The sequence below is a fragment of the Homo sapiens genome, chromosome 1 (assembly GCF_000001405.40).
Source record: "Homo sapiens chromosome 1, GRCh38.p14 Primary Assembly".
Classification (NCBI taxonomy): Eukaryota; Metazoa; Chordata; class Mammalia; order Primates; family Hominidae; genus Homo; species Homo sapiens.
Window position 1 is genome coordinate 110,356,594 of NC_000001.11, and position 14,669 is coordinate 110,371,262.

The 14,669-nt window shown below is 39.2% G+C and overlaps 1 protein-coding gene across 12 annotated transcripts in view; it reads right to left on the bottom strand.

Moving 5' to 3' along the window:
• Positions 1-6,263: 6,263 nt before the first annotated feature.
• The window catches only part of SLC16A4 (solute carrier family 16 member 4), a 28,170-nt gene continuing 19,764 nt past the window's right edge, over positions 6,264-14,669 (bottom strand). For 11 of the 12 annotated variants that reach the window (XM_006711033.4, NM_001319220.2, NM_001201547.2 and 8 more), the window contains one exon: positions 6,264-7,300. In XM_006711033.4, coding sequence (XP_006711096.1) covers positions 7,173-7,300 — 128 coding nt within the window. In that variant the 3' untranslated portion in view covers positions 6,264-7,172. Of the gene's footprint in view, positions 7,321-14,669 lie in introns of all 12 variants that reach the window. The other variant, NM_001201548.2, reaches the window with a different exon arrangement.

Consider the following 14,669-nt stretch of genomic DNA (forward strand, 5'->3'; position numbering starts at 1 on the left):
GGCTTCAGAGGACTGCTGTACAGCTGGAGTATTTAGGCTTGAAATTGTTTGATTAGGTATGATAAGCACATTCCTCTGATTTACAGGTTGCCATATATAGGTAACTTATATTGAACTGTGACTAGTTTTGAGGTAGTGGAAGGAAGGTAATATTTGCTGTTGCTCTTTAAAAGTTGTCTCACTTATTTCCTTGGTCCTGGCGTACTACCCTTAAGGGATGGACTTACTTTTTTCCTGCTAAAAGACATAAGATTGGTTGACAGAAGTCAAAGGGTGGAACACCTTGCCATTACTTCTGCTCAATTTGTCACTTTTAAAAATAGTTTAAAAGCTGGAAGCTTGTCAATAGGAAAAGTAAACTCATTTTTAAAAATTTATTTTCACAAGGCAAATAATGCCTTAAAGTGGCTTCTTTTTTAAAATTTAATTTAATTAATTCTATTCTGATGAATTCTCATTAAAAGTGTTGTATGCCTCCTTTGTTGGTTTCTGTTTTGCTCATTAGTGCTTGCACGAGGTAAAAATAGAAATGAATTTGTGGATTTTTTGTTTGTTTGTTTGGAAGGTGGCTAGAAAAAACTTTAGTCTTTCGTTGTGTGCTATCAAGTATTCAGATGTATTCTCCACTACTTAATAAGGAGTAGCCAACTCATCCTGGCTTTAAAACTGAAAGTTCTATGTCTCAAGAACTCCTTTGTTTCTGTCTAGACCCAGACAGTCACCCTAATCCTAGTTCACTCTCTGTATCCCTAAAAAGGCCTCACTAAGTTGTTATTGATTATCATTTTGAATGGAAGGAGATTTCATAATATACTAGCTTCTGTTGGAATGTATCAGGGATTAGGTTGTTTATTTTTATTTTTATTTATTTTTTGGGGGTTCGGAGTCTCGTTCTGTCTCCCAGGCTGGAGTGCAGTGGTGCCATTTCGGCTCTCTGCAACCTCCACCTCCCAGGTTCAAGTGATTCTCCTATCTCAGCCTCCTGAGTAGCTGGGATTACAGGCGCCCACCACCATGCCTGGCTAATTTTTGTATTTTTAGTAGAGACGGGGTTTCACCATGATGGCCAGGCTGGTTTCGAACTCCTGAGCTCAAGTGATCCACCCGCCTCGGCCTCCCAAAGTGCCAGGATTTCAGGCGCGAGCCACCATGCCTGGCCCCAGGTACTTTTTTCAAGAGATGACTTGTCTCTGATCCTAAGTCATGCTAGTCTAATTCTCACAGAAATAAAACATGAAGAATTTTAAATGGATTTTAAAAGTTGCTTTCAAGCACTTTAGTTATTTTTTGTTTGTGTATATGTTAAGACCATAGATGACAAATGTGAAACAATTGAGTAGATATTTGTGGCAAATGAGTAGCCACATGAGGCAAATATATAGATATAAAGCCTCATACAAGGTGATTCTGGCTTAAGAGAAACACTCAAGGCTTTTAAAAAGTATTGGGCTTTGGGCCAGGTGTGGTGGCTCATGCCTGTAATCCCAGCACTTTGGGAACCTGAATCGAGGATCACTTGAACTCGAGTTAAAGACCAGCCTGGGCGATGTGGCGAAACTCCGTCTCTACTAAAAATACAAAAATTAGCCAGGTGTGGTGGTGTGCACCTGTAGTCCCAGCTACTCTGGAGGCTGAGGGAGTATGGGGCAGGAGAATTGCTCGAGCCTGGGAGACAGGTTGCACTGAGCTGATATTGCGCCACTGCGCTAGAGCCCAGGCAACATGAGTGAAACCCTGTCTCAATAAAAAGTATTGGGCTTTGGTTTTATATGAGGTCTTCAGAGAAACCACCGTCCAAGTTTTGCACTATGTCTCTCTTAAAAACAATTAAAATAATAGTATATGATTTTTTTCCTCACATGGAAAAAGCTGATTTTACAGTTAGACAAATGTATTTACTAAACATATTTTGCAAACAGGACATAACACATACCTCAATTATTTGAAAAAAATCACAAAAGTATCATTTCAGTCCATATAAGTATAATTGCTTTTAATAAAGTTAAACTCCTAGAGAATCATTAAAGAAGAAAAGCCAGGGGCCATGAGCTAATTAATCAGCACCAGTAATTAGGTTTTAAAATTGGCTTTGTTAAGGGCTAGCTTTAAGCAAATAACTTGTTCTTAATTGCCTTTGTTCCTTATATATAAAATAGAAATAATAATAATACTTATCCATACTTTGTCACAGAATTAACGTGATGATAATGAGGTAATAGATGGGAAAGAACTCCAAATAGTTAACAGTACCATAAGGTAGAGTTTTAGTGTCAGATATAGTATTTTACAATGACATATATGGAAAATTCCTTCTTTTATAATGATGGAAATATCCTAACAGTTTTAAACATAACCCAAGAAGTAGCAGAGAAGAAAGTATACTGAAGTATACTGAACTTTTATGTTCAAATTACAATAGCTCTACTAGATATGTGTGTGTATTTTAAGGCTTATAATTTGTAAACACTCCAACTATTAATAATAACGTATTAAGGAATTATAAGTGGCCCTGTACGTAGGCATTATTTTCTCTTTAATCAGGTTCACTGAGTATTGGGAGACCTAAGAAAGTTAATTATCTTAACAACTACATTATTATTGCATTGTAGCAGATGTATTTTGTGGTTTTAATTTTGACGGAGGTGGAGGATGGGGGGTGGTTCTTAGGTACTTTGCATATTTGCATTCTTTTTTTTTTTTTTTTTTTTTTTTTTTTTGAGATGGAGTCTTGCTCTGTCGTCCAGGCTGGAGTGCAGTGGCACGATCATAGCTCACGGCAGCCTCCACCACCTGGGCTCAAGTGATCTTCCTGCCTCAGCCCCCCGAGTAGCTTGACTACAGGCGTGTGCCACCCTGTCCAGCTAATTTTAAACAATTTTTTGTAGAGATGGGGCTCACTGTGTTGCCCAGGCTGGTCTTGAACTCCTGATCACTCAAGTGATCCTCCCACCGCAGCCTCCCAAAGTGCCAGGATTACAGGTGTGAGCCACCTGGCCCACATTCTCCTTTTTGTTTCAATACAGACATTAAAATTTTAGGCCAATTTGAGTTAGATTTTTATTATAACTGCTTTCAATTAAATCAGCTTCATAATCTGTTGATACTGCCAAGAAGCCAGAGTAATGTAAAGGAGAAAGAGTAGGGTTTTGTGTTAGATTGTGTTTGAATTATTACTCCACTACTCACTGGGTATTTAATTTCTTTGACCTTCAGGCTGGGCACGGTGGCTCATGCCTGTAATCCCAGCATTTGGAGAGGCCCAGGTGGGCAAATCACCTGAGGTCAGGAGTTCAAGACCAGCCTGGCCAACATGGCAAAACCACATCTCTACTAAAAGTACAACAATTAGCTGGGCCTGGTGGCGGGCGTCTGTAATCCCAGCTACTTGGGAGGCTGAGGCATGAAAATTGCTTGAACCCGGGAGGTGGAGGTTGCAGTGAGCCCAGATCATGTCATTGCACTCTAGCCTGGGTGACAAGAGTGAAACTCCATCTCAAATAAAACTGAATTATTTTAAAAAATAATAATTTATTTGACCTTCAGTTTCTTCATTTGTAGAATGGGCATCATAGTATGGTATCTCTATCTGCTTCTGAAGGTTATCATGAAGACTAAATAGGATATTTGTCAGCTGGGTGCGGTGGCTCACACCTGTATTCCCAGCACTTTGGGAGGCTGACACGGGAGATTCACTTGAGCCTAGGAGTTCTAGACCAGCCTGGGCAACATGGCAAAACCCCGTCTCTACCAAAAATACAAAACTTTGCCAGGCATGGTGCACATCTGAGGTCCCAGCTACTTGGGAGGCTGAGGTGGGAGGATCACTGGAGCCCAGGAAGTAGAGGCTGCAGTGATCTGTGATTGTGCCACTGCACACCAGCCTGGGTAACAGAGCGAGACCTGGTCTCAAATAAAAATTTTTTGAAAGAAAATTATTTTTTTAAAAAAGGTATGTGTCTACCTCAGTAACTGGTGTATTATTAGATGTTGAAGTGAAGTTATTCACCACCCTACTGCCCCAAGCGCACTTACTCATATGTAAGTTGTGTAATATTTGTTTCCTCTTTGTTTTATGGAATCTCTTGAGGGGGAAGAAAAAATCAGCAACTATTATGCTTTTCTTGAAACTCCATATATAGCTGGGATGATATTCCTGCATTATGGATTCCTAGAAATGTTTTATATGGCATCTTATTGTCCACAAAAATGACAACATAGCAGTAAATGAACAGGAACATCATAAGTTAATTGTTAATATGATGAACGCGTTAGTTATAGAAGTCGTTAGCTTTCTGTAGTCTTGGGATTCAGGCTTTCTTAATTCACACCACCCAGGTTTAGAGGGCCTATTACTATTGAGTAGGATAAAGAACTTCTCTGTTGCATGAGATTCATAAAACCTAAGAATTCAATTTGGAGTTCTTTAGTTGGTCCCACTTAAAATGTACAGCTTGCTTAGCTAGGAGGAAGGATCAGGTTGCTCTAGGTAGTTGAAGTCCCTTTTAAAAATAATTGCTACTCTAAAGAGAAGAAGGAATTAATGAAAGTGGTTCATAAAATCATTGATTTCTTTTATTTTTTGTTTTGACATGAAAGCAGAATGGACATTAGCAGCTACTATATATGAAGGGCATTTTGCCTGGTATAAGTATATTTTCTTTTTCTTTTTTTTTTTTTTTTTTTTTTTTGAGACGGAGTCTTGCTCTGTTGCCCAGGCTGGAGTGCAGTGGCATGATCTCACTGCCACCTCCACCTCCCGGGTTCAAGCGATTCTCCTGCCTCAGCCTCCTAAGTAGCTGGGACTACAGGCGTGCGCCACTGTGCCCAGCTAATTTTTGTATTTTTAGTAGAGACAGAGTTTCACCATGTTGGCTAGGCTGGTCTTGAACTCCTGACCTCAAGTGATCCACCCGCCTCAGCTCTCAAAGTGCTAGGATTGAAGGTGTGAGCAACCATGCCCGGCACAAGTATATTTTCATGGGTTTAGTCCTCACAGTATATCTGTGAGGTGGGTTGGTGGTATTTTCATTTTACAGAGCAGGAAATTGGGTCTCAGATAAGTTAATTTTAAGTAACTTTCATGAGGGCATATGGTAACAAGTGGCAGAGCTGATATTTATTATTAGTTAACTATTTTTGCTGTTTGTATGTGTAAGGGGTGGTTTTTTTTTTCATTTTTTTTACATGTAAAATGTAAAAATATTAGACATCCACATCTAAATGTAAAAATGATATTTCTTTTTTTTTAAGTCAGAAAACCAGTTTTCTTTTTTCTTTTGCTTTAGTCAGAAAGCCATAAAAACCATATTTAAATAGGATCAACTACTGTTTTTTAACATAACTGAGATTTGAACCGAGATTAATTTGGTTCCAAAGCTTATGCTAGGCCTTGGAGAATACAAAGATGAATGAAACCCCATTCATCTTGTTGATCTTGCAGACTAATGGAAAGGATTGACATGTGAGTTCATGTAGTACTCTGTTAAAAGTTAGATAGGATTCCAGATGAGAATGACAATGCTGGGGAAGATTTTTCCAAAGGAGGTAGCCTTTGAGTGAGTCAGATAGTGAAAAGTGAAATGGTGCCTGGTAGAGAAGGCATACATAGGCAGTGACAGGGTATGGAGCTAAAACCAGTCTTCTAGAGTTTTTCTCTGTAAGTTGTTAATAGACATTTTAAAGCAGAGAGGAATGGAAGAGTGGAATAACGATGATGGTAATAGTTTAAGAAGCATTTTGGACCAGGCATGGAGGCTCACGCCTGTAATCCCACCATTTTGGGAGGCCGAGGCGGGTGGATCACTTGAGGTCAGGAGTTTGAGACCAGTCTGGCCAAGATGGTAAAACCCTGTCTCTATTAAAAATAACAAAAATTGGCTGGGCATGGTGGCCGATGCCGGTGATCCCAGCTGCTTGGGAGGCTGAGGCAGGAGAATAGCTTGAACTCTGGAGGCGGAGTTTGCAGTGAGCTGAGATCATACCACTGCACTCCAGCCTGGGCGACAGAGTGAGACCCTGTCTCAAAAAAAAAAAAAAAAAAGCATTCAGAAGGAGATGCTAAGGGAGGTTGGTGGTATAAGAAACATCTTTTAATTTAAACATATTTCCCATTAAAACCACCTATTCAACTTTCATGTAAATCTTGTAAAGAGACGTTTCAATATTTAGTGTGAATATTTTGTTAATTAGATGTAGCAGAAAAATAACGCTTTGATGGGCAAAATTGCTGTTCAGATGATCTTGAAATAAAGAAGTTTTTAAAGCAATTTTTATATACTTTTTATTATTTAGCAATACATGTTTATCATAGAAATTTAAGAACCTAAGTAATACAAAGAAAGTAAGGATTACCTTTAATTAAGAACCTAAGTAATACAAAGAAAGTAAGGATTACCTTTAATCAATAAACAAAGATAAACTTTTGGAGGGAGCATATACCATTCCAGTCACTAAGTAAGGTTTTAATATTCAGATTCCAGAATTCTGATCAATCAATGGCTATGTTTCACACTTCTTTAAATTAAAAAATTTTCTATCTTTACATATTTTAGTGACTGAATTACCATGGCGTAATTGAGAGTTTGGATTTATTATGGTACATTCCGATTTCTATTTAATACATAAGGTACCTGATTAAAATTTTAGCCTATTTGGTTAAATACTAACAATACAGGTTGCTATTACTCTTGTCTTACTACCAATTAGACATTTCTCAGAATGCTAAAGCAAGAAGGAACCTTAAAAACTTATCTGGCCGCGCCCAGTGGCTCATGCCTGTAATCCCAGCACTTTGGAGGACAAGGCGGGCGGATCACGAGGTCAGGAGATGGAGACCATCCTGGCTAACATGGTGAAACCCCGCCTCTACTAAAAATACAAAAAATTAGCTGGGTGTGGTGGCGTGTGCCTGTAGTCCCAGCTACTTGGGAGGCTGAGGCAGGAGAATCCCTTGAACCCAGGAGGCGGAGATTACAGTGAGCCGAGATTGCGCCACTGCACTCCAGCCTGGGCGAAAGAGCGAGACTCCGTCTCAAAAAAAAAAAAAAAAAAATTGTTTTCCTTCTCATGTTACAAATGTAGATGCGATGTGTTTCTTTCAAGCTTTTGTTTCCAATGACATTAGTTTAGGTTTTCTTTTGTTTAGCTCTCACTTGATTGCAGTCTTCTTTCTTTCAGGTCAGACTGTTTTTCCATCTTTCGGCCAATGGTACAAAAAAAAAGGAAACTGAAGAGAGGAGATAGCATATGCCAGAGAAGTAGAAAGAGCCATTGTATGTCTGGGTATAATCATATAACCAGCCTGGAAGGAAGGAATGATTTCTGTTAGGGAAGGAAATTTTGCCATTAGTAACTCTCAGCCATGAATAGCTCCTCAAAGCAAGGAGCCTCCTGTATTGTGACCCATTTGAACTTAGTGAAGCTTCTTAGCTGCCCTATTTTTCACTGATGAAGTTGAATCAGCTCCACCTGAGTTAGGGACTTACACCATCTCCAATCTTACAGTGGAAGTTGGAGAAAATTAGGAACACATACCGTTTTATTTTACCATGAATTTTATTAGAAGGCCGCTATTATGAAGAAAATAATCATAAATTATTGTTTTCCAGAGAAAAAAAGAAGTGATAATAATCAGTTTTCTTTTTTTTCCTTTACTAAACAAAGACTTGAGTACTTACTATATTCCTGTTAATATTGCTAGGTGTTGAGGATACACTAGTGAGCCAAAACAGATACGGTCCTTGCCCTCACAGAACTTTAGTGGGGAGATAGGTACCAACCACATAAATGATATGTGATAAGTGCTATGAAGGGAAGGTGCAGGAGGCTATCAGAAGATATGAGAAGGAACTGACTGCTTGATCACGTGGGTTAAACAATGACAAGTTCCCCCCTGAAATCTAAATGCTTTTTTTTTTTTTTTTTTTTTGAGACAGAGGCTTGCTCTGTCACCCAGGTTGGAGTGGTGTAGTGGCACGATCTCTGCTTTGCTTACTGCAACCTCCACCTCCTGGGTTCAAGCAGTTCTCCTGCCTCAGCCTCCCAAGTAGCTGGGATTACAGGTGCCCGCCACCACACCCGGCTAATTTTTGTGTTTTTAGTAGAGACGGAGTTTCGCCATGTTGGCCAGGGTGGTCTTGAACTCCTGACCTCCAGTGATCCGCCTACCTCGGCCTCCCAAAGTGCTGGGATTATAAGCGTGAGCCACTGCACCTGGTCCTAAGTGCTTTTTAAAAGCATAAGTTGGAGGGTCTTCAAAGTCTTTTGGCTAATGGCACATACTAAAACTTAAGCGAAACACTTTTTTTTCTTTTTTTTTTTTAACTGAGTAGGTGATAGCAAAGAATATTTATGCTAAGGCACATCATTGCAAAAGTCAACACTGAAAAAAGCAAATAATGTCCTTAGTATTATCATGACAATAATTTTGGCCTCCTGGACTTCCTAAAGGGTCTCAAGGATCTCTGGGGGTCTGTTGACCTCACTTTGAGAAGTTCTTTTCCAAAGTATAGTATGTATATTATATCTGATCACTTATTCAAGAAATTTCAGTGCTGTATGGCAGCACAGGTCTGGGTTTCAGGGATATACCCCTGAACAAAATAGATGAAAATATCTGCCCTCATGGAGCTTACATTGTGTCTTTGATTTTTCCCTTCTATCTTAGATCATGATGCCTCACTGGATATGTAGAGTATACCCTCCCCCACCTTTTTCTTCTGGTCTGCTTGTTTCATCTCCTCTTTGTTCTGTTATGGACACAGAGGAGATGAGACAAGCAGACCAGAAAAAATTGACTTAATTTATTTTTGTTTTATAGCTCTGTGTTTCCTATTGTTAATGTAAAAAATAAGTGAATAGAATGTTTTATAACCTCTTAAGTTCAACTAACTTTAAGTTGCTTTTTACTTACTGACTCCTGTTTGATTAGTGACCTCTATTAAATGTTTCTTGGAGTTACTGGAGTGAAAACAACTGGACAAGTCTTTGTGTTATGTTGATTGTTATTGACCTATAGATCTCTAAGAAATAGGTGACTAGTCTCTGAACTCTTGTAGACATTTCTAGAAAGGAAGGAGTATAGAAGGTAGCAGTCCTTACCCTCCCATCCCTTGTCATTCTTGCCTTAGTCCTGCCAACACAGCAAATGTATTAGAGTGTATGTGTCTGTGTATGTATATGTGTATATATAAAACCTGTGAATTATAAAATAGTGGTCTCAGAAGTAACACCCTGGGGAAAGACTAGGAATTCTTGGACAAAAAGGTAGACAGTGCTACTAAAATGTCAGATAGCACAGCTAAAAATAGTAAAAATGGATTGAAGAGAAAAACTGTTTATAAGCCTTTTCTTTCTTTTCTTTTCTTTTTTTAAAATTTCTTGTAGAGACTGGATCTAAGTTACCCACGCTAGTCTCAAATTCCTGGCCCCAAGTCATCCTCCTGCATTGGCCTCCCAAAGTGCTGGGATTACAGGTGTGAGCCATCATGCCGACCAAGCCTTTCATTTTACACACACACACACACACACACACACACACACTCTTTCTCTCTCTCTCACTCACTCACTTTTTTTTTTGTTTTTTGAGACAGAGCCTCGCTCTGTTGCCCAGGCTGGAGTGAGTTGCGCAATCTCGGCTCACTGCAACCTCCGACCCGCAGGTTCAAGTGATTCTCTTGCCTCAGCCTCATGAGTTGCTGGGATTATAGGTGCCTACCACCACACCCGGCTCATTTTTTTGTATTTTTAGTAGAGATGGGGTTTCGCCATGTTGGCCAGGTTGGTCTCAAACTCCTGATCTCAGGTGATCCGCCTGCCTCAGCCTTCTAAAGTGCTTGGATTTCACTCACTCTTAGAATGCTGTTTCTGAAACATTAAGTATTAAAATATAGTCATGTGGCACATAACAGGACAAACCTCATGAGGTTATGATATGCATTTTTACTGTATCTATGTTTAGATACATGAATACTTTGTTTGGATACACGAGTATCTTTCTATGTTTAGATACAGTTGCCTACAGTACTCAGCACAGTAACATGCTGTATAGATTTGTAGCCTAGGAGCAATAGGCTCTACCATATAGCCTAGGTGTGTGTAGGTATACTGTTCATATGACAATGAAATCATCTAACACATTTCTCAGAATGTATCCCTGTTAAATAACTCATGACTATATTTAATATATTTTCTTACCAGGGCGGGGAATTGTTTAGCATGTTTTAGAATTATTTCTATGTATTTCCATGCAAAATTAGGTGAAATAAAACCTGGATGAAATAATTGTTGTAAATTTGTTTCTCCCAGTCATATTTGATCATTGAGATATTTGTATTTTTTAGATTCTAAATTAAGATCCAATTGCCATTCAATAGGATAATAGTATACAGCTGAGTATTTAGTTTTAGGATGCTGTTTATACTAGCAAATATGAGGTAAAATGTAGGATGCAGAAATATACATATGACTGATTATTTTATGAAAGTATTAGTTGTTAAAATCAAGCTTATATTTAAGTGGCTACTAGGTTAGTTAAGTTTTGAGCTTCGTTGCTATTGAAACATCTACTTTATTTGATTGGAATAACTAGCCATTCTCTACTGCTGAAAGTAAAAGGATTGGCCAGGCACAGTGGCTCATGCCTGTAATCCTAGCACTTTGGAAGGCCAAGGCAGGCAGATCACTTGAGCCCAAGAGTTCAAGGCCAGACTGGGCAATGTGGTGAGACCCTATCTCTACAAAAAAGAAGTAATAAATTAGCTGGGTGTTGGCCAGGCGTGACGGCTCATGCCTATAATCTTAGCACTTTGGGAGGCCAAGGTAGAAGGATGACTTGAGCTTAGGAGTTCAAGACCAGCCTGGGCAACACAGTCAGACTTTGTCCCTATTCTATCAAAAATTAAAATTAAATTTAGAAAAATATTGGAAAAGAATAAAGAAAAAGTTAAAGAAAAAAAAGCCAGGTGTCATGGCACATGCCTGTAGTCCCAGCTACTCAGGAGGCTGAGTTGGGAGGATCACTTGAGCCCAGGAGGTTGAGGCTACAGTGAGCTGTGATTGTGTCACTGCCCTCCAGCCTGGGCAACAGAGGGAGAGCCTGTCTCAAAAATTTAAAATATATATATATAGGGAGAGAGAACGAGTGTCTGATTTTATTAGATCTCTGTATTTTTTTGGTAACAGGATGAAAAATCTGTTCAGATGCACTTCGGACCCTAAACGGTTTAATGCTTCTAAGTAAATTTTTGTTTTTTTTGAGAGGAATCTCACTCTGTTGCCCAGGCTGGAGTGCAGTGGCGCAATCTCCACTCACTCCCAGCTCCGCCTCCCGGATTCACACCATTCTCCTGTCTCAGCCTCCCGAGTAGCTGGGACCATAGGCGTCCGCCACCGTGCCCGGCTAATTTTTTGTATTTTTAGTAGAGACAGGGTTTCACCATGTTAGCCAGGATGGTCTCGATCTCCTGACCTCGTGATCTGCCCGCCTCGGCCTCCCAAAGTGCTGGGATTACAGGCGTGAGCCACTGCGCCCAGCCAAGTAAATATTTTTAAAAGAAAGTATTGTTGATAGTTCAGAAGCCACTGTATTCTCACCATTTTAAATGGAAGCACACACATAAGTTGACATTCAAAAGACTAGATTCCTTTGTGGTCATAGCATAAGCATTGTGAACGTCAGAGAAAGACAAGATTACATACCAGTTATAATCTAGGATAATGTGCATGTATCTGAATGTTCACTCTATGCCTGGTATTACTGTATGTAGCCAGCACTCTGAGGAATAAACTGGCAGCTGATGCAGAATTATTAAGCTGAAGACCTCTGTAAGCATTTCCTTGGTGTCTACAGGCTACCTGCGTCAGATTTACCTGAGATGCATGTTAATAATGCAGATTCACTGGATTCTGTCAAGCATAACTCCATCCTGGGTGGCACTCAGTTGATTCTTACGCACAGTAAAATTATTATTTAACAATAATAATTATTGTATTTGAAGTTACTAGTCCAGACTCTTTTCTTATATCTATGGCTATAGGACTTGTTTTAGGCAGAAATGTCTAGTAATGTTTCCTGTGATAATTTAAAACAAATAGGAAGATTGGGCTGAGCTTCTTTAAATACTGGTGCAAACCATTTTTTTTACAGTCAGTTAAAAAGGAATAAGAATAATCATTCAAGTTAGATATTTAATATAGGATTCTGAACTCATTTTTTAAGTGTTAATATTTTAAAACTATTCCACATTATTTTATGTGTTAGGCCATACATGTTTCAAAAGGAATTTAGCATCCTGTCTAAAAAGTATTCATACCTTCAGACATCTCAGAATCTCAGAACTTGATTGTTAAGCTAAGTTATGAATCTTTTTTTTTTTTTTTTGAGATGGAGTCTCGCCCTGTCGCCCAGGCTGAAATGCAGTGGTGCAATCTCGGCTCACTGCAACCTCCTCCTCCTGGGTTTAAGCGATTCTCCTGCCCCAACCTCCCAAGTAGCTGGGATTACAGGTGCACACCACTACGCCCAGCTAATTTTTGTATTTTTAGTAGAGACGGGGTTTCACTATGTTGGTCAAGCTGGTCTTGAACTCTTGACCTCGTGATCTACCTGCCTCAGCCTCCCAAAGTGCTGGGATTACAGGCGTGAGCCACTGTGCCCAGTCATGAATCATTTTTATTAGGATTACTATGTAAGTTTACTATTGGTCATCTTATTGAAACTTAACATGGCCGGGTGCAGTGGCTCACACCTGTAATCCCAGCACTTTGGGAGGCCGATGTGGGCGGATTGCTTGAGCTCAGTAGTTCGAGACCAGCCTGGGCAAAATGGTGAATCCCATCTCTACTAAAAATAGAAAAAATTAGCCAGGCATGGTGGCACACGCCTGTAGTCCCAGCTACTCAGGAGGCTGAGGTGGGAGAATCACTTGAACCTGGATAAGTGAGCCAAGATTGCACCACTGCACTCCAGCCTGGGTGACAGAGGGAGACTCCATCTCAAAACAAAAAACAAACAAAAAACTTAGAAGGTCCTTAATTCCAAAGTTTCTTGGTGCTAGTTCTAAAGTGGTTGAAAATTCTGCAGGTGACTGGTCAGAGTTGAATCAGAACTCCTGTGGTTGGGTTGTAGCATAGTGGCAAATTTCCAAGGTGTGCAAAGACAATTTTCCTCTCATCCCTGGGGCCACTGGAGCCACCAGCTGGCTATTGGCAATCTTGTTCTTTTACTTTGGGTGTATTGTGCAAATATTTTCTATATGTGCCATGATCGGAAAAATCTTGGGAAACTTGGCTTAGCAAATTTAAATTTCAGGGCCTTTTAAGATGGGAACTCAGTAAAGTTTCCTTGATAGAAATTTGCAATAAGATTTACTAGGAATGCTTCAAGTATTAGCTCTGTGCTGTAATTTTTATTAAAAGGATTGTGGTGTCTATTAGGATGTGGAAGCTGGATTCTTTGGCCTTGCAAAGTGTGTTATAAAAGGGAAGAACTCCTCTTCTTAAACCACAATAGAGAGCTATTTGGAATTTATTTTTGATGCTTTGTAGGTATTCATCAATCTTAGGAAAACTGAATCAAAGTAAAAATCTGTAAGGCTTTGTAGTTTATGGGGAAAATAATCACTAGATACATAAAATATTTACTTTTTTTTAGCCTTTTTTTCCCCCCACAGAACATATAGAGGACAGGGCTTTGCTCTGCCTTCTCACTTTCTCCCCACTCACCCCCAACCTCCAGAGTGTGTTTTCCAAGTAAAATTTTAGGCCATAGAGAAATTCGCAATTGATAGGCCAAGGTGACTGATAAAACTCTAGAGGTCAGGATTGGTAATAGTGGAGCGAGGACCAGATGGAATTTTTGTTTAATACTGTATCTGAAATTGAGGATGGGATAGATAGGAAATGACCTATCATTTCATGAGGAGATGACTTTTCTGTGATAATGGGACAGAGATGAGCTTAGATGAATGAATATATATTTTAGCACTTACCTTTTTCCATAAAACACAAATAGACTTGGTGCAAAATTACCAGTCTCACTCCATGGTATTTCTGATGAGATCGGTAAATAATAGAGAGAGACATACTTCTTTAGGAGCTAGCTGACTTTAACATATGCTGGAGTACAATTGACTTACAACTATTTGGCGTTAGAAATGATTTTTCTAGGGCTTGGTGGGGGAAAAATACTCGTGAAATACCTGCCTTGACTTAAACTTCAACATATTTTAAAGTCATTTTATTATCCCACAACTCAGAATGTCTTCAATTAAAGGTAAGAAAATAAGGTGATGGGCTACAGTGGCTTAATCAGGTGTTCAGTTAATGAAGTAGAAGAAGGATACAGATTCTAATAATTCACAGTTGTAGAGGTTCTAGACTGTTCTTAGTATGAAGTCCTGGCAGTGTATGTGGCAGAGTGAATAATGTTTCACGACCTGGTGAGTCATGTGAGGACTGTGAGTAACTTTTATCTTCTGTGTGTCCCACATAGCATATAACAGTACTATGCTAGTGATTTGCTTGACAGTTATTGAATGAATGCTAAGTTTCAAATATTTATTTGATAGTCACTTGATTACCAAGTAATCAAATAATTACTTATAGTGTTTTAGGGAGTTTTCAGAAGATATTTGTGATTAAATAAATGATTATATATGTATATTAGCATA